The sequence below is a fragment of the Homo sapiens genome, chromosome 1 (assembly GCF_000001405.40).
Source record: "Homo sapiens chromosome 1, GRCh38.p14 Primary Assembly".
Classification (NCBI taxonomy): Eukaryota; Metazoa; Chordata; class Mammalia; order Primates; family Hominidae; genus Homo; species Homo sapiens.
In genome coordinates, this window is record NC_000001.11 from 39,955,127 (window position 1) to 39,972,057 (window position 16,931).

Genomic DNA, 16,931 nt, shown 5'->3' on the forward strand with positions numbered 1-16,931 from the left:
GCGGAGGGGGCGTGCAGCAGAGTGCGTTCCTCGTCTGCCAGCCGGCTTGGCTAGCGCGCGGCGGCCGTGGCTAAGGCTGCTACGAAGCGAGCTTGGGAGGAGCAGCGGCCTGCGGGGCAGAGGAGCATCCCGTCTACCAGGTCCCAAGCGGCGTGGCCCGCGGGTCATGGCCAAAGGAGAAGGCGCCGAGAGCGGCTCCGCGGCGGGGCTGCTACCCACCAGCATCCTCCAAAGCACTGAACGCCCGGCCCAGGTGAAGGTGAGGGCCCGGCACCCCGCGTGGAGGGCGAGGGGAGGGAGGAGGCGGAAATGGGGGATCAGGGGCGTCCCGGGGTCGGCCTGGTCAGGGGACCATTGGGATAGCCAGGGACAGGAAGCCTACGAGCCAGAGAGGACCTGGGGGTGCCCTGGGACAGGGGGTGACGGAGAAAAGCTGTGGGCGCCCTCGCCCCCCTTTGCTCACCCGCACTCCACGCTCTGCGGAGAGGCTCTGCCGGCAGCCCCATGTGATTCCCCGCTCTGCCTAGCCGGTTTCCATTCTTCCGTGTTGAGCGGCTGGGGCTTGCCGCCCCAAACCCCAGAGATGACCCCAGAAATCTGGGAAACTCCCCTTGGTTCCCCATCTCTCATCCCCTACCTCCCACTCCACCCACCTACTCTTGCGCCTCAACTCTGCTGTTAGGGCCGCTCAAGTTCATTCATAAGAACAAGAGCTCTGCTCTTAAAGGAGCCGCGTCCCTCAGGCATTTGTCTGAATGTGGATGTTCGCGCGGGAACGGTGCTTTGCGCATCGAGACCATCGACCACATCCCCAGCCCTGGGGACTTATTGAAGGACCAAATAAAATGAGGCGGCCCCCTAGGAAAGGATCTCAGGCAATAGATACCTTCGTGGGAGGTGACTGCCTTTTCCTTTTAATTTTATTAACTGATCTTTGGAAGGAGCTGGGTGAGCAATTATGCTGTTACTATGTATGAGTAATATCTACTTTCCCTGGGCAACCCAACCTCCCTAGTGCCCCACCCGGAGAGGGATCAGGCCTGAACCTGGAGGCCTTTCCTCCCGTCTCCAAGGTCCTCTAGGAGCTCAGGGGTGGAGGGCGATGGGTCGGGAAGCTGGAGAGTAGGACAGTTCCTGGGTCCGCCTGAAGCTCTGGCTGCCTATAGTGGTCAGGGATGCTCTGGGATAGGTGGAACAGCTGCGCCTGCAGCCAGCTGGGCCGGGCCCCCGTAGCTCTCTAGAGCTCTCACCAGGAGTAGGCAGGTGGATCCTGTCTCTGAGGCAGGGTGGGAGCCTGGGCTGGGCTCAGGCAGCTCTTGGCAGCAAGCGGATTTTCAGGTTGTGGCAGCTGGTGCCGGGTGGGGACAGGTCGGCTGCTGGAGCATGCTCCCCCTGAAACCTGGAAAGGAGCAGTGCCTGAGGCCTTGGGAGGAGTTCTTTAGGGATGGTGGGCTGATAAGTTTCCTTAGAATCTCCAGGAGGGAGGTGGCTTAGGGGCTACTTTCACACAAGTATGGATTCCCCTTTTCCATGTTCCTAAGAATGGAGAACACCTTTCTTTTGTATAAAGTGGGATCTCGGAGATCGAGACCATGCTGGCTAACATGGTGAAACCCCGTCTCTACTTAAAATACAAAAAATTAGCTGGGTGTGGTAGTGGGTGCCTGTAGTCCCAGCTACTTGGGAGGCTGAGGCAGGAGAATGGCGTGAACCCAGGAGGCGGAGCTTGCAGTGAGCCGAGATGGCACCACTGCACTCCAGCCTGGGCAACAGAGCAAGACTCTGTCTCAAAAAAAAAAAAAAAAAAAAAAAAAAAAAAGGTGGGATCTCCTGGATAGGAACAGGTCAAAGCAGAGTTGTTTGTTCTGGTAGAGCTGGCCAGAGGGATGGTCCTTCCTGTGGAACCTTCTTGGATGGAGGCCAGAACCTTGGGCCTTTCATCTTTTCCTCCTCTTCCCAGAAAGAACCGAAAAAGAAGAAACAACAGTTGTCTGTTTGCAACAAGCTTTGCTATGCACTTGGGGGAGCCCCCTACCAGGTGACGGGCTGTGCCCTGGGTTTCTTCCTTCAGATCTACCTATTGGATGTGGCTCAGGTGAGTGGTCTAAGCCTTCGAGGGCTCCTTCAGCATCCTGAGGTGGGAAAGACTATGCACCCCTGGGTCAGTTCGCTCAGTTTTCCCCATCTGTGAAATGGGACCCCAAATCACTACTTTGCTGCCTCTGAGTCAGTGAGCAAGAAATGAGAAGACCCTGGAAAGTATCCAGTAAAGGAGTGTCTCCACTCCAGGAGTCTTTGCTGGAAAGGTCTGGCAACTCCTCCTTGCCTGGCATGAGCAACAGAGCCTGAAGGGGTAGGCGGTAGAATGAGGGAGAATGGGGCCTGCTGGGGATGCTGTTCTTAGAAGAGACTGGCACACTGTGTTCCTGGCTGGGAGATAGTCAGCTGGCTTGACTCAGGGGTTGGTGGCTGTTGCCAGGCTTGTGGATGAGATGCATCCCACCTTTACCTGAGGAGCAGAAGGGCACTTAGGTGCCAGGCTAAGTTAGAATGCCCCAGTACACAGGGTCTTTGACTGGGAGGGGTACTTAGGGTGAAACAGGACTATTCTGTGCATTGAGAAGCCTTGGCCAGAAGCCTGGCATCCTGAGAATTCACCCTGTCTGGATGGGAGAGTGGGAGGCAGAATAGCCATGACTACCGGGGCTCCTGCACCAGCTGTCTTCTCTGTGTAGCATCTAACTTGGCAAGCATCGCATCTTAGTTGTATCCATTTACAGAGGGGGAACACTGAACTCCAGAAGGAACAAAAAACTTCAGCAGCTAATTTTTGAGTAACTCCCATGGGCTGGGCCTTGGGTGGGGTGTAAATATGAGGAACCTGCAGTCAAAGTGTAAACCTGTTGTAGTGGGTGTTAGAGCTGGGGTTGGGGGGTTAGACTAGGGAGACTATGGTATGGGGAAGAATACCCACTCCCCAGAGAAATAGCAATAGCAGGGCTTTGATGGATAAGGAGGAGTCTGGAGAGTCTGTATTTAGGGCCTGGGGGGTTTTGGGGCGGGGAGGGGGATAACTTGAGTGGGTAGTGACAAGTCCCTTTTTAAAAAGCATCTATAGGCTCCTTTTTCCACATCCAAGATAGAGCTTGAACCTGTAAGGTAGAGCTCATAACTCCCATTATACAGATGGGAACACTGAAGCACACTGTGTTCACCCCGTGAATGCTCATTCTGATATCAGGTGGTCAGGAGCTCAGGGCTGAGAGAGGGAGGGAAGGAAATGTTTGTGGATTCATTTGAATTGATGGGAATGTTTTCAAGGGCAGTGGAGGGAAGCAATTAAGGAGACAGAGCTGGGAAAGCTTCTAAGGAGGCACCCAGTGCTACTGTTATTGGAGAAATGCTATTGTCATTATTAACAAGGCAAGTGAAGATGTGTAAGGTCCATGTGGGAGCAGCTCAGGGTCACAAGATCCTGGCTGAGATAGGGAGGGAGCCTCTGCTTCTGCCTACCAGTGAGAGTTGAGGCGAGTAGAAGGATGAGGAAGTTGTCTTTTGCTTCTCCTCATTCCAGGTGGGCCCTTTCTCTGCCTCCATCATCCTGTTTGTGGGCCGAGCCTGGGATGCCATCACAGACCCCCTGGTGGGCCTCTGCATCAGCAAATCCCCCTGGACCTGCCTGGGTCGCCTTATGCCCTGGTGAGTAGAATATGCCCCTTCGAGGTGGCACAAGGCAGGACTTCCAGCATATCTGCTCCTTGGTCCTTCTCTCTGTCTTGTCACAGGCAGAAGGGTGAGGAGAAGGAAGGAGTTAAAAGCCCAAGGGTGTTGAAACCCCATCCGAGGCATCAGCTACCCTGAGCACGGGCACTGGCATGCTCAGCCAGTTCATTTCCAGGACAGCCAAAGTGCTAGGCTGGGCAGCTCAGGCCTCATTCCTCCCCAGGGTCCACTCATTCCCCTTGGTGAAGCTGGAATTCTGAATTCTCCCACTCTATCACTTCCTGCAGTGGCCGAGGTAGTACTTAAGAGTGGTTAAGCAGTTGTACTCTGGAGCCAGCCTGCCTGGGCTTATTTTATTATTTTTATCTTTCTTTCTCTTTCTTTCTTTCTATCTTTCTTTCTTTTTTTTTTTTTTAGAGACAGGGTCTCGCTCTGTCACCCAGGCTGGAGTGCAGTGGTGTGATCATAACTCACTGCAGCCTAGAACTCCTGGGCTCAAGTGATCTTCCCACCTCAGCCTCTCGAGTAGCTGCGACTACAGGCACGTGCCACCACACCTGGCTAATCTTTTAAAATTATTATTTGTAGAGACAGCGTCTCACTATATTGCCTAGGCTGGCCTTGAACTCCTGGGCTCAAGGTGTCCTCCCGCCTCAGCCTCCCAAAGTGTTAGGATTACAGGTGTGAGCCACCATGCCCGGCCCCTGTCTGGGTTGAAATCCCAATTTCCCTACTTAGAGCTGAGTCACTTCACATCTCTGAGTCTCAAGTTTCTTCATCTAAAATGGGGATAATAGTTATACCTATCTCACACTCACAGAGTTGTGGTGGATTAATTTTTTTTTTTGACGTTCTTAGAACAGTGCCTGACTTAATTCTACTTCATAAGGTTGATGTAATTTTGAGACTTAAATAAGTTGATACTAAAATACCAAGCAGTGTCTGGGACACTAAGTGCTATGATGACCACTTCAGGGAAGCTCAGCAGGAGAGCTGGCATGTGGTCCCTAGTACAGGCCACACCAGGGGAACTGCAGAATCCTGGGCTGGGAATTAGACTTCAGGCCCAGCCTGCTGCATCTCTACCTCCATGTGGGACCCTCCAACAGCACAGTGATAAATAATTTGGCACCCCTTCAGGGTGGCTCCTGGCAGAGCAGGGGATGGGGTAATACCCGGAATGGGGTAGCAAACCCATAACCTTTGGCACCTTGGATGACGTAAATTACCTTCTCCCTTGGTACAAAGCCTGTGCTACTCAGCTTCAGGGGCAAAGTAGGCGGAGGTGGTGCCACGGATCGGATCAGACGGCAGGGGAGACGCACAGGATAGGCTGTCAGGCGGGGGCTCTGGTTCCCTCCAGGACATCCTGCTTCAGGGTGTGGGGGGGCATACCCCTTTCATCTCCAGCCCATCCAGGCTTAAGTGGGCGCCTTCCTGCCCCAGGGGCGCCCATACCTGGCCTCCGGCCTTCAAAGCTCTTCCCGCAACCCCTTCCCCCACTACAGCTTCCTTTCCCACGAGGCCCCCCACCCACCCCAATCCTGCCAGCCCCTGGCTAAGGCCCAGGTTGGAGCCTTTGATCCAGTCTTCAGGGCCGGGGGCAGGACAGCCTGCCTTACCTGTGCAGGCTGCTCAGGGCTCCCCCGGCGCCAGCCCGTGAGACTTGGCCCTGTGCCCGCCTCCCTGGCAGCCAGTAGAAGGGGAGGCTCTGCTGCCACGTCGCCTCATGAGGCCCAGCCAATGGGAGGCAGCCGCTCCCAGGGATGGTGGCTGCAGGCCGGGTTACTCCCAGTTACACTGGGTTCCTCAGCAGCAGCTGCTCAGCTGCTTATGAGCAGAGGATGGAGTGTTTGACAAAGGCTGATGAGGAGCTCTTGTTCCCTGAGGAGACAGAGTCAAGAGAGGTGGAGGTGGGCAGGCCTTCCCTGTGGCATGTAGGAACTGAGCAACTTCCTGGGCAGGCGTGGCAGCCAGTTTGGGGAAGTTGCTGGGGGCCCTTCAGGCTGGTTTCTGATCTAGCAGGTGCCTGTGTGCACATGCTTCTGTGGCTGGTGGTGCCTGTGTATGCCTGCACGCGGGATGGCTCGTGGGCTGAAGGCTGGTGTGCATATGACCTCCCTGTCCAAACTTTTTTTCCTTTTTGTGGTGAATGGGGTCTGGCTATGTTGCTCAGGCTGGTCTCAAACTCCTGGGCTGGAGCTATTCTCCTGCCTCTGCCTCCCTAAGTGCTGGGATTAAAGGCATGAACATCACCATGCCTGGCCAGACCTCTCCATCCATACCACCTGACCCCTCCTCAGGCCAGGCCTGGAGACCTGGAACCCCCTTTCCTTTCAGTGTAGGAAGAAACTGGGTCTGTCAGGGTTTGTGAACCCTGTAGCTCTCTCTCCTCCTGGGCCTCAGGGCAACCCCTGCTTTAAGCCTACATTTAAATCCTCTTCTTGAAACCAGGAAGACTTTTCTTCCCGCCCCCGCCCCCCCCCCCCCCCCCCCGCTTTTTTTGTTTGTTTGTTTGAGACAGAGTCTCGCTCTGTCGCCCAGACTGGAGTGCACTGGCGTGATCTCAGTTCACAGCAAGCTCCACCTCCTGGGTTCACGCCATTCTCCTGCCTCAGCCTCCTGAGTAGCTGGGACTACAGGCGCCCGCCACCATTCCCAGCTAATTTTTGTATTTTTAGTAGAGACGAGGTTTCACCGTGTTAGCCAAGATGGTCTCGATCTCCTGACCTTGTGATCTGCCCGCCTCGGCCTCCCAAAGTGCTGGGATTACAGGCGTGAGCCACTGCACCTGGCCCTTTTCCTTTTTTCTGATTAAAAACAAAAAACAAAAAAACACATATATAGAGATGGGGTCTTGTTATGTTGCCCAGGCTGTTCTTAAACTCCCAGCCTCAAGCAATACTCCTGCCTCGGCCTCCCAAAGTGCTGGGATTACAGGCGTGAGCCACCATTCCTGGCCAAACCAGAAAGACTTTGATAGTCACTTTGCCTGGAGTTCTCAAGGCCAGTGTGTGAGAGACCAGATGTCAAGCAGGGTCCCATGGGGAGGCTGCAACAGCTGGACCTGAGGTCTCCTTCCCAGCCCAGGGCTTTCTACAGCTCCCCTGGTGTGGCCTGCATTAGTTACGCATGCCAACTCTCCTGCTGAGCTTCCCTGATGTGATCATTATAGCACTTAGTGTCCCAAACACTGTTTGACATTTTAGTATCAACCAAGTCTCAAAGTTACTTCAATCCTGTGAACTAGAGCCAAGGCACCTCCAGTGGCCTTTCAGAAGTTCCATTTCCACTCCCGCCTCATCTCCTAATTCTATCTCCCCGTTCTCTTTACTCGAGCCCTCCTGGCCTTGCCCTTCCTTAGGCCTGATACGCACCTATCTGAAGACCTTTGCACTGACTATTCCCTTTGCCCGGTCCACTCTTGCCTCAGATGTCTAAAAGGCCAACTCCCTCCTCTCATTCAGGCCTTTGGCATGGATGCCACCTTCTCAGTAAGGCCTACCCTGTCCACCCATTTGTGAATTGCACCCTTATTCTAACCTTCTGGAGCCAGCTTTATTTCTTTTCTTCACAGCACTCATCTCCCAACATGTTATATAACCCTTTTGTAAAACTACGGTAAAGTATATGTAACATAAAATTTACCATAACCTTTAAAAAATGTTTACGAGCTTCTTCTCCGAGAAAACACCAAATGGCGGATGACACTGGTGCAGCGGGGGGGCCTGGAGGCCCTGGTGGCCCTGGGATGGGGAACTCTGGTGCCTTCCGCGGAGGTTTCGGCAGTGGCATCCGGGGCCGGGGTCATGGCCGTGGACGGGGCCCGGGCCGAAGCTGCGGAGCTTGCTGAGGCAAGGCCGAGGATAAGGAGTGGATGCCTGTCACCAAGCTGGGCCGCTTGGTGAAGGACATGAAGATCAAGTCCCTGCAGGAGATCTATCTCTTCTCTCTGCCCATTAAGGGATCTGAGATCATTGACTTTTTCCTGGGGGCCTCTCTCAAGGATGAGGTTTTGAAGATTATGCCAGTGCAGAAGCAGACCCGTGCCGGCCAGCGCACCAGGTTCAAGGCGTTTGTTGCTATCGGAGACTACAATGGCCATGTCGGTCTGGGTGTTAAGTGCTCCAAGGAGGTGGCCACCGCCATCCGTGGGGCCATCATCCTGGCCAAGCTCTCCATTGTCCCCGTGCGCAGAGGCTACTGGGGGAACAAGATCAGCAAGCCCCACACCGTCCCTTGCAAGGTGACAGGCCGCTGCGGCTCTGTGCTGGTGCGTCTCATCCCTGCACCCAGGAGCACTGGCATCGTCTCCACACCTGTGCCCAAGAAGCTGCTCATGATGGCTGGTATCGATGACTGCTACACCTCAGCCCGGGGCTGCACTGCCACCCTGGGCAGCTTTGCCAAGGGCACCTTTGATGCCATCTCTAAGACCTACAGCTACCTGACCCCCGACCTCTGGAAGGAGACTGTATTCACCAAGTCTCCCGATCAGGAATTCACTGACCACCTCATCAAGACCCACCAGGCTCCAGCTGTGGCTACAACATAGGGTTTTTATACAAGAGAAGTAAAGTGAATTAAGCCTGTTAAAAAAAAAATGTTTACGAGACAGAGTCTTGCTATGTTGCACAGGCTGGACTCAAACTCCTGGGGAAAAGCAATCCTCTTGCCTCAGTTTCCCAAGTAGCTGGGATAACAGGCATGTGCCACTGCCATTACAGCCATTTTTAAGTGTACAGTTCAGTGGCATTAAATACATTCACTTTGGTTTTTTTGTTTTTGTTTTTGGTACAGTAGGGATACAAACCTGTCGGTTCTCTAATATTTCTTTTTTGGGCAGTGCAGTTTTAACATTCCACATTAAGGATGTAATAATCAAGGAGTTTGTTTGTTTGTTTGAGACAGGGCCTCACTCCGTCACCAGGCTGGAGTGCAGTGGTGCGATCTCGGCTCACTGCAACCTCTGCCTCCCGGGTTCAAGTGATTCTCCCGCTTCAGCCTCCCGAGGAGCTGGGACTACAGGTGTGCGCCACCATGCCTGGTTAATTTTTGTATTTTTAGTAGAGACGGAGGTTTCGCCATGTTGGGCAGGCTGGTCTTGAACTCCTGACCTCAGGTGATCCACTTGACTCAGTCTCCCAAAGTGCTGGGATTACAGGCATGAGCCACTGCGCCTAGCCTAAGTACATTCACTTTGTCGCCACCATCACCACCATCCATCCATTACATCCTTCCAAAGCGAAATTATGCAATATTTATCTTTTTGTGTCTTGCTGATTTTCCTTGGCTTAATGTCTACAAGGTTCATCTATGTTGTAGCATGTGTCAGAATTTTATTCCTTATGAAGGTTGAATGGTATATATAACTTTTAAATTATGTCAACTTTTCTGTTTGCCAACTAGTATGTAAGTTCCACAAGGGCAATGATTTTTTATCTGTTCTCTAGTTATCCTAAGTAATTAGAATAGCGCCCAGCCCATAGCTGGAACTTATGAGGAAATGAGGAAACGAGCTTCAGATAATTTAAATAACTTCCCAAGACTAAGTTTTATAGTTAGTTGGTGGAGCTAGAATGGAATCCCTGAAGAGTGGCTCAAAGGCCTTTCTCTTTACCATGGCCTGTGCTGCCTTGCTATACTGATGCCATGAAGTTAGTCCATCCTGAGGTCTAACCCCTTTTGATGGTGTGGAACTCACATGGGGAAGGCGGACATTTGCCCACCTGGGCCTTCAACTCCTTCACTTGGAGCTGGCCTCTCCCCATCATGCCAGCTTCCCTGTGTGTGAATGGGTGTGTGTGTGTGTGTGAATGGGGTGTGTGAAGTGTGTATGTGAATGGGGGTGTGTGTGAATGGGGTGTGTGTGTGTGAATGATGTGTGTGTGAATGAGGTGTGTGTGAATGGGGTGTGTGTGTGTGTGAATGAGGTGTGTGTGTGAATGGGGTGTGTGTGTGAATGGGGTGTGTGTGTGCGGTTGATGACTATCCGTGTGAGAACACGGGAGTTGGGGCTGCTCCTTCTCTTTGCCTCCTTGCCCAGGCACCTGAGGTCTTGGACTCCTGTCCTAACTCTCAGCCCATTAGAGGCTGCTGCCTCTGGACTAGACTCAGGCTCTGACCTCACACTCCATGCCTAGGATTTCAGTCTGGGGTCCCAGTTCCCATCTGCCATTCCGGGCTTGGTCATCAGCCTCTTCCCAGAGGCCCAGGATGGGTGGATTTGGCAGGAGTATGGGGAAGGAAGGAAGAGCTTAGCTTCCTTCCCTGTGGGGACCCTGTGAGGCACAGCAGACTGGGCTGGGCCTGGTCCTGGGCTCCAGCCTCCAGCCTCCACTCACACCCTCCTCTTCCTCAGGATCATCTTCTCCACGCCCCTGGCCGTCATTGCCTACTTCCTCATCTGGTTCGTGCCCGACTTCCCACACGGCCAGACCTATTGGTACCTGCTTTTCTATTGCCTCTTTGAAACAATGGTCACGGTGAGTGTGGGTACCTCCCTTGGGTGTCTCTAGGGGCCGGGAGGAGGGCGGTCCTTGGGGCCCCCAGGGTTGGTACTGGAAGCTACATCAGTGTGTCCACCCGCCTGACCAGCCAATGACCTGTCTTCTATGCCAGTGTTTCCATGTTCCCTACTCGGCTCTCACCATGTTCATCAGCACCGAGCAGACTGAGCGGGATTCTGCCACCGCCTATCGTGAGTCTCCCCAGCCCACCTGACCCCACCCTCCAGGGACCCTCCAGCCATACTTCTTCCCTTGCGGGTCCAGCTCTTTGCTCTGCTCTAGAGTGTGGGTGTGAAACCATCTTAAAAATAACTCAATCCCCTTATTGCTCAGATGAGACCTGGAGAGGTGCATATGCGTTCAAACCAAGGTGTCACCTACCCCACTACCTCTACCCACCCTGCCTGGAGCTACCGCTGGGCTCCCACCCATTTGACCTTCCTCCCTGGGCCCACAATCCATGAGGCCCCTCCAAAACACCTCCTTTTCTCCTGCCAGGGATGACTGTGGAAGTGCTGGGCACAGTGCTGGGCACGGCGATCCAGGGACAAATCGTGGGCCAAGCAGACACGCCTTGTTTCCAGGACCTCAATAGCTCTACAGTAGCTTCACAAAGTGCCAACCATACACATGGCACCACCTCACACAGGGAAACGGTGAGGCCCTGGGCAGGGCAGGGATTTGGGGAGATAAGGAACAGTGAGGTGGTTTGTAGTCATCCTAAAGATAGTAACAGCTAGTGTTTATTAAATAAATGTTGGGCATTTGATATACATAACAATTAATGCACCCAATATACCTACTTTGCAGAAAAAGAAACTGAAGCTTAGAGAGGCTGAATAAGTTGCCCAGAGTCATAAAGTTAGTGAATTGCAGAGATTTGGGAAGATTTGAATTCTGGGCTGTCAGACTCTGCAGCCTGGTTTCTGTTTTTTTCCTTTTATTATTATTTGTAGAGACGGGGTCTTGCCAAGTTGCCCAGGCTGGTTTCAAACTCCTGGGATTACAGGTGTGAGGGCTGCACTCAACCAGCCTGGTTTCTGAGCATGTTGTGAATCTTAACTGTCCAGCCTTGGGAAGCAACAGCAGGCCCAGGATGATCCTCCCATTTCACACATGGAGACAGTACGCTCCCAGAGGGGAGGGGACTGGCCCAAGATCATTGAGTGGGGCTGCTGGAACTGGGGTGCTGGGATGAGCTCAAACTGACCATCCTTGTATGTCGCCTTCACCTCCTTATAGCAAAAGGCATACCTGCTGGCAGCGGGGGTCATTGTCTGTATCTATATAATCTGTGCTGTCATCCTGATCCTGGGCGTGCGGGAGCAGAGAGGTAAGGGGGTGCCTGGGAAGGGGTGCAGGCCTCAGCATGGACAGCTGTATCTTTCTGCCTGGCCCTCAGGCTTTGGGAGGGGTCTCTGCTCCTTCCTCACTGTCCGCTCTGGCCCCCAGAACCCTATGAAGCCCAGCAGTCTGAGCCAATCGCCTACTTCCGGGGCCTACGGCTGGTCATGAGCCACGGCCCATACATCAAACTTATTACTGGCTTCCTCTTCACCTCCTTGGCTTTCATGGTGAGTGGGTTCTGACATGCTCAGCCTGAGAAGGAGGTGTAATGGGAGCGGGGTGAGCAGAGGTCTCTGGGGCTTGGGGGATGTCTTGGGGAGGCTCAGCCCCAACATCACCTCCTTCCTTGCATTTCCTTCCCTACCTTGCTCCATGCCCAGCTGGTGGAGGGGAACTTTGTCTTGTTTTGCACCTACACCTTGGGCTTCCGCAATGAATTCCAGAATCTACTCCTGGCCATCATGGTGAGTGGGACCTGAGCAGGGGCGGGCAGCCTGGGCTGAGGTGACATAGGCTGTGGAATGGTTCTTGGAATAGGCAGAGGATGTTTCTCAGGCTGGCCCAAGGTCATGAAAGGATGAGGGAGGCTTCTCAGGGTATTTGGTTGGACCTTGCGAAGGTAGGACTGTGAAAGAAAGAGTTTGAGGTTAGATGTTTGAGTAGTGAGCACAGCAAAAGCAAGGGCGAGGACACCAGGAACTTGGCTCAGAGGTTTGAGAGGGCAGCAGACAAGGTGGGCCTGGACCAGCTCTGAGCTCCCCTGGGGAGCCGTCAAAGGTGCCTGTCATCTTCGTTGCTGCCCACATGATGTCATCTGGCTGCTCTTGGGCAGGGCTGGGAGCCACTTTGGGGTTCTGGGAAGGGCAGGAGGGGCTCTGTGGCTCTAAAGCACCTCCCTTTAACCCCCTTTGTCCATCCACAGCTCTCGGCCACTTTAACCATTCCCATCTGGCAGTGGTTCTTGACCCGGTTTGGCAAGAAGACAGCTGTATATGTTGGGATCTCAGTGAGTGGGGTTGAAGAGCAGAGCCTGGGTTGAGTTGGGATGTCTGGTGGGAACCTCCCAGCTGATTCATCTTCCTGCACCCCCTTCCCTAGTCAGCAGTGCCATTTCTCATCTTGGTGGCCCTCATGGAGAGTAACCTCATCATTACATATGCGGTAGCTGTGGCAGCTGGCATCAGTGTGGCAGCTGCCTTCTTACTACCCTGGTAGGTATATACAGGCCCCCCTCCTCGGGTATCTCCAGCCCCTAGTCCCCAGTTTTGAAGCTCCTTAGGGAGAGTTCTATGCAGTGTTCTCCCACAGGCCATTCTGTGGGTCCAGGTTAGGAGTGGGGGAGGTCTGTCCTGTACAGTTGTACAGGTAGTGAGCTTTGCAAGAACACCTAGTCAGAGTGAAAAATGGGGGCTGTAATCTGGCCTGGGCTCCACTTGCCACGCTGAGCACCTCCAGGCAGGGTTACTTCCTCTTAGAGCAAGAGGCCTTTTCTTATTCATGTGAAGGTCCCATATCCTCACTGAGCTGTGTACCCATGGTACTGCAAGCTTCCAGAGGGCCACCTCTTCTCATTAACACAGAGGCCCGTTAGGTGGGTCAGTCCTCATGGCTGTCACTACTCTGCGCAGGTCCATGCTGCCTGATGTCATTGACGACTTCCATCTGAAGCAGCCCCACTTCCATGGAACCGAGCCCATCTTCTTCTCCTTCTATGTCTTCTTCACCAAGTTTGCCTCTGGAGTGTCACTGGGCATTTCTACCCTCAGTCTGGAGTGAGTGGGGTGGGGACCTGGGGCAGGACTGGGCAGGGCCAGGCCCCAGGTGCCCCATCTTCACCGTTCTCCTACCCCCTGGGTCCCATAGCTTTGCAGGGTACCAGACCCGTGGCTGCTCGCAGCCGGAACGTGTCAAGTTTACACTGAACATGCTCGTGACCATGGCTCCCATAGTTCTCATCCTGCTGGGCCTGCTGCTCTTCAAAATGTACCCCATTGATGAGGAGAGGCGGCGGCAGAATAAGAAGGCCCTGCAGGCACTGAGGTGAGTGGGGAGGGGACAGGATGCTGGAGGAGGGGACGTCACTGTGTCTAAACCCTCAATTTGTGTCTCCTGTGGCCAAGTCCAGACTCACCCCCCACACATCTTCTCTGGACAGCTGTAACACTTAAGTACGCACCAGGCACTGTGTTAAGTGGTCTTACCTTTATTCAACAAATACATACTGGCTGCCTACTATGTGCTAGGCATTGACTGCTCTAGTGAACAAGACAAAAATCTCTGTCCTTAAGGAGCCTGTTATAGGACGTGTGTATCCATCACCTCCCATACCCCTCCAACAACCCTAAGTATCAGGTTCTTAGGGTTCCCCCTCTGCAGGTGAAGAAGTTGAGGTTTCAGCAGGAAGAGTACCTGGCCCAGCTGAAAGGGGCGGAGCTGGGGTTTGAGCCTCAGCATTCCGGCTCCAGAGACTGCACTCTTCATCAGCCTCCTGGCATATAGGACCTCGAGTGTGGCCTGACCCTGCATCTGGGGAAACCAGTGGGCAGGCTGGAGTGAGTCATGCCAGCCCGTCAGCCAGCCCAGGCGAGAGTGTAGATCTAGGGTTTGCAGTACCCTGTGTGCAGCAAGGACAGTAAACAGACCAACCAACAGTTGAAAGTGGGAGTGAGCAAACTCTGTGTCCCGCGGTTCACTTTAGTCCGACAGCAGGGCCAAGATCACGTGAGGAAGGAGGCAGGTGGGGCTGAGGAGGGGTAAGGATGGATGCTTCCTCCAACCCATCTCCTCTCTCTCTTGCAGGGACGAGGCCAGCAGCTCTGGCTGCTCAGAAACAGACTCCACAGAGCTGGCTAGCATCCTCTAGGGCCCGCCACGTTGCCCGAAGCCACCATGCAGAAGGCCACAGAAGGGATCAGGACCTGTCTGCCGGCTTGCTGAGCAGCTGGACTGCAGGTGCTAGGAAGGGAACTGAAGACTCAAGGAGGTGGCCCAGGACACTTGCTGTGCTCACTGTGGGGCCGGCTGCTCTGTGGCCTCCTGCCTCCCCTCTGCCTGCCTGTGGGGCCAAGCCCTGGGGCTGCCACTGTGAATATGCCAAGGACTGATCGGGCCTAGCCCGGAACACTAATGTAGAAACCTTTTTTTTTACAGAGCCTAATTAATAACTTAATGACTGTGTACATAGCAATGTGTGTGTATGTATATGTCTGTGAGCTATTAATGTTATTAATTTTCATAAAAGCTGGAAAGCAGCTGCCTGTTTCTGTCTGTGTCCTCAGCCACTCACTGAGCCCTTCTGCCTTAAGACTCCGTTAGAGAACACACTGAGCCCCAGGTGCTACTGGGTGGGGGCGAACATGTCTGGAGTTGTGGCTGGAGTGCAGTGGCGCAATCTCGGCTCAGGCAATCCTTCCTTCTGCTTCACCCTCTCGAGTAGCTGGGACTACAGGCATGCACCACCACGCCTGGCTGATTTTTAAATTTTTTTGTAGAGATGGAGGTTTCACTATGTTGCCCAGGCCAATCCTTCTCACTGGACTCAAGCAATCCTCCTGCATTAGCCTCCCAAAGTAGTGGGATTACAGGTGTGAACCACTACACCTGGCCTCTTGCTAAGTCAAGACTGTTCTTATTTGAAAGATAAGAACACCCTAGTGTAGAGAGGGATTTAGCTAAAGTCACGCAGCCTTTAGTGACCTAACTGGAATTTTATCCCAACTCTGTAAGACTCCAATACCGTAATCGCCACTGTCTACTTCCTTGTGTCTGAGAATGACCAGGGGACCGGCAGACAGATGCTTGCTCTGGGTGTGCCTGTACACTGTGCTTCCTGCCTGGTGCATGCCTGAGCCTGCAGGGCTGGTGGGGCTGGAGGCCTGTGGGGTCCCTGGAGACTGGTGGTTCTTTCTCCACAACTGTTACTGATGGTATTGAAAGGTGAGAATGTACCTGCTGGATGTGTGTATCAGATGAGGGAGGATTTTACCACAGACGCACTGGTGACAAAAAAAAACCAAACACCTCCGGTAGGGAACAGGGTGGTGGGGAAGGCCTAGTTGGGAGCACTTGGCTAACTTCCATGGTATGAATAACTCCCACCATAGCCAATTTCAAGTTATCCATGGTTGTTCATTTGAACATTTCCTAAACATTTAGTAGTTGGCTTTTACAAGCTGGTAGGAGCTTGCCTAACACACCACTGGGTCTCACACTTAGGCCAAGCCCCCAAAATCACAAGAAGGCAAAGCTGGCAGGATCAGGAGCTACTAGTCAAATCTCCTGATTTTATAAATAGATAAATGAGGCCCAGACAAGAGAGGCTCTTAGGCTATTCTGGCTTGGTTCTTACCTTGAGTGTGGGGCTCCGTTTTGGGTGGGAGGGAGGTCCACCATTTTTACTGATGAAGTTCTGCCAGGTTACTTTGATAAATTACATTAAGCGTTACTAACAGGCATGGTTACATGTGTGTAATAAGTATGAATTCAGTTAGTCTTCAGATAGTTGTCAGAACTTCCCTATGAGGAAGGTATTATTGTCATCCTCACGTTAAGAGATAAGGAAACTGACGCAGGGAAAAGTTAAGTAACCTGCTCAAGGTCATTGGACAGTCACTGGAAGAGCTGATACTTGAATCGAGGTTGGCTATAGTGCCTGGGCTCTTAACCACTACTTAAGGCTGTTAGGTGAACCAATGGTTTTGTCAACACCAAGGCAAGTCACACACTGTCTTTGTATCAGCCATCTCATGTCAGGCTGTCTGGGCAAGGCAGGAGCCTAGAGTCTGTTATGGCCTCTGGAGCTGGCCTGCTCAGAGACTCTGAGATAATGTTTATAGAAGCCCACTTATACCTCCTCTCTCCCTCCACTCTAACCAGTAACCACCAAGTCCTGTCTTTAAAAAAAAAAAAAAATTAAAGTTTTCAGCTGGGCGCAGTGGCTCACGCCTGTAATCCCAGCACTTTGGGAGGCCGAGGCGGGCAGATCACCTGAGGTCAGGAGTTCGAGACCAGCCTGGCCAACATGGTGAAACCCCGTCTCTACTAAAAATACAAAAATTAGCCAGGTGTGGTGGTGCATGCCTGTAATCTCAGCTACTCAGGAGGCGGAGGCAGGAGAATCGCTTGAACCCAGGAGGCAGCAGTTGCAGTGAGCTGAGATCGCGCCATTGCACTCCAGCCTGGGGGACAGAGAGAACCAGTCTCAAAACAGAAACAAACCAAAAACCAACAAACAAAAACAAAACTAGCCAGGCGTGGTAGCACATGCCTGTAATCCCAGCTACTTGGGAGGCTGAGGGCAGGAGAATGGCTTGAACCTGGGAGGCGGAGGTTGCAAAGAGCTGAGACCATGCC

General features: G+C 53.1%; 1 protein-coding gene and 1 pseudogene across 9 annotated transcripts, besides 1 other annotated feature; both read left to right on the top strand.

The window, feature by feature from the left end:
* Window positions 19-14,830, top strand: MFSD2A (MFSD2 lysolipid transporter A, lysophospholipid). Of its 9 annotated transcripts, none has more exons than NM_001136493.3 (14): window positions 19-259; window positions 1,961-2,095; window positions 3,536-3,699; window positions 10,085-10,208; window positions 10,345-10,423; window positions 10,731-10,888; window positions 11,475-11,565; window positions 11,685-11,806; window positions 11,960-12,043; window positions 12,502-12,585; window positions 12,678-12,790; window positions 13,208-13,351; window positions 13,443-13,619; window positions 14,379-14,830. In NM_001136493.3, exons 1-14 carry the CDS (start codon window positions 167-169, stop codon window positions 14,440-14,442), a joined length of 1,632 nt encoding a protein of 543 aa, NP_001129965.1. In that variant the 5' UTR covers window positions 19-166; the 3' UTR covers window positions 14,443-14,830. The 9 variants fall into 9 exon arrangements, 8 of the variants coding, with proteins under 8 accessions (NP_001129965.1, NP_116182.2, NP_001336752.1 ...); NM_032793.5 differs by having other exon boundaries at window positions 3,575-3,699; NM_001349823.2 differs by having other exon boundaries at window positions 1,965-2,095; window positions 3,575-3,699.
* Window positions 5,541-5,650: an enhancer, noted in NCBI's record as "active region_823". NCBI's record gives its function as "activates an Ori minimal core promoter by ATAC-STARR-seq in GM12878 lymphoblastoid cells {active_cell/tissue: GM12878}" and the evidence as "EXISTENCE:reporter gene assay evidence [ECO:0000049][PMID:35858748]".
* On the top strand, window positions 7,398-8,318 carry RPS2P12 (ribosomal protein S2 pseudogene 12; annotated as a pseudogene).

What these genes read in the sequence shown, in the direction of transcription:
- MFSD2A (NM_001136493.3), top strand. Translation starts at nt 167, where the DNA reads ATGGCCAAAGGAGAAGGCGCCGAGAGCGGCTCCGCGGCGGGGCTGCTA. An exon ending in ACCTATTGGATGTGGCTCAG is followed by an intron (nt 2,096 to 3,535) that starts GTGAGTGGTCTA and finishes TGAGGCGAGTAG; the next exon opens with AAGGATGAGGAAGTTGTCTT. An exon ending in ATCTACTCCTGGCCATCATG is followed by an intron (nt 12,044 to 12,501) that starts GTGAGTGGGACC and finishes GTCCATCCACAG; the next exon opens with CTCTCGGCCACTTTAACCAT.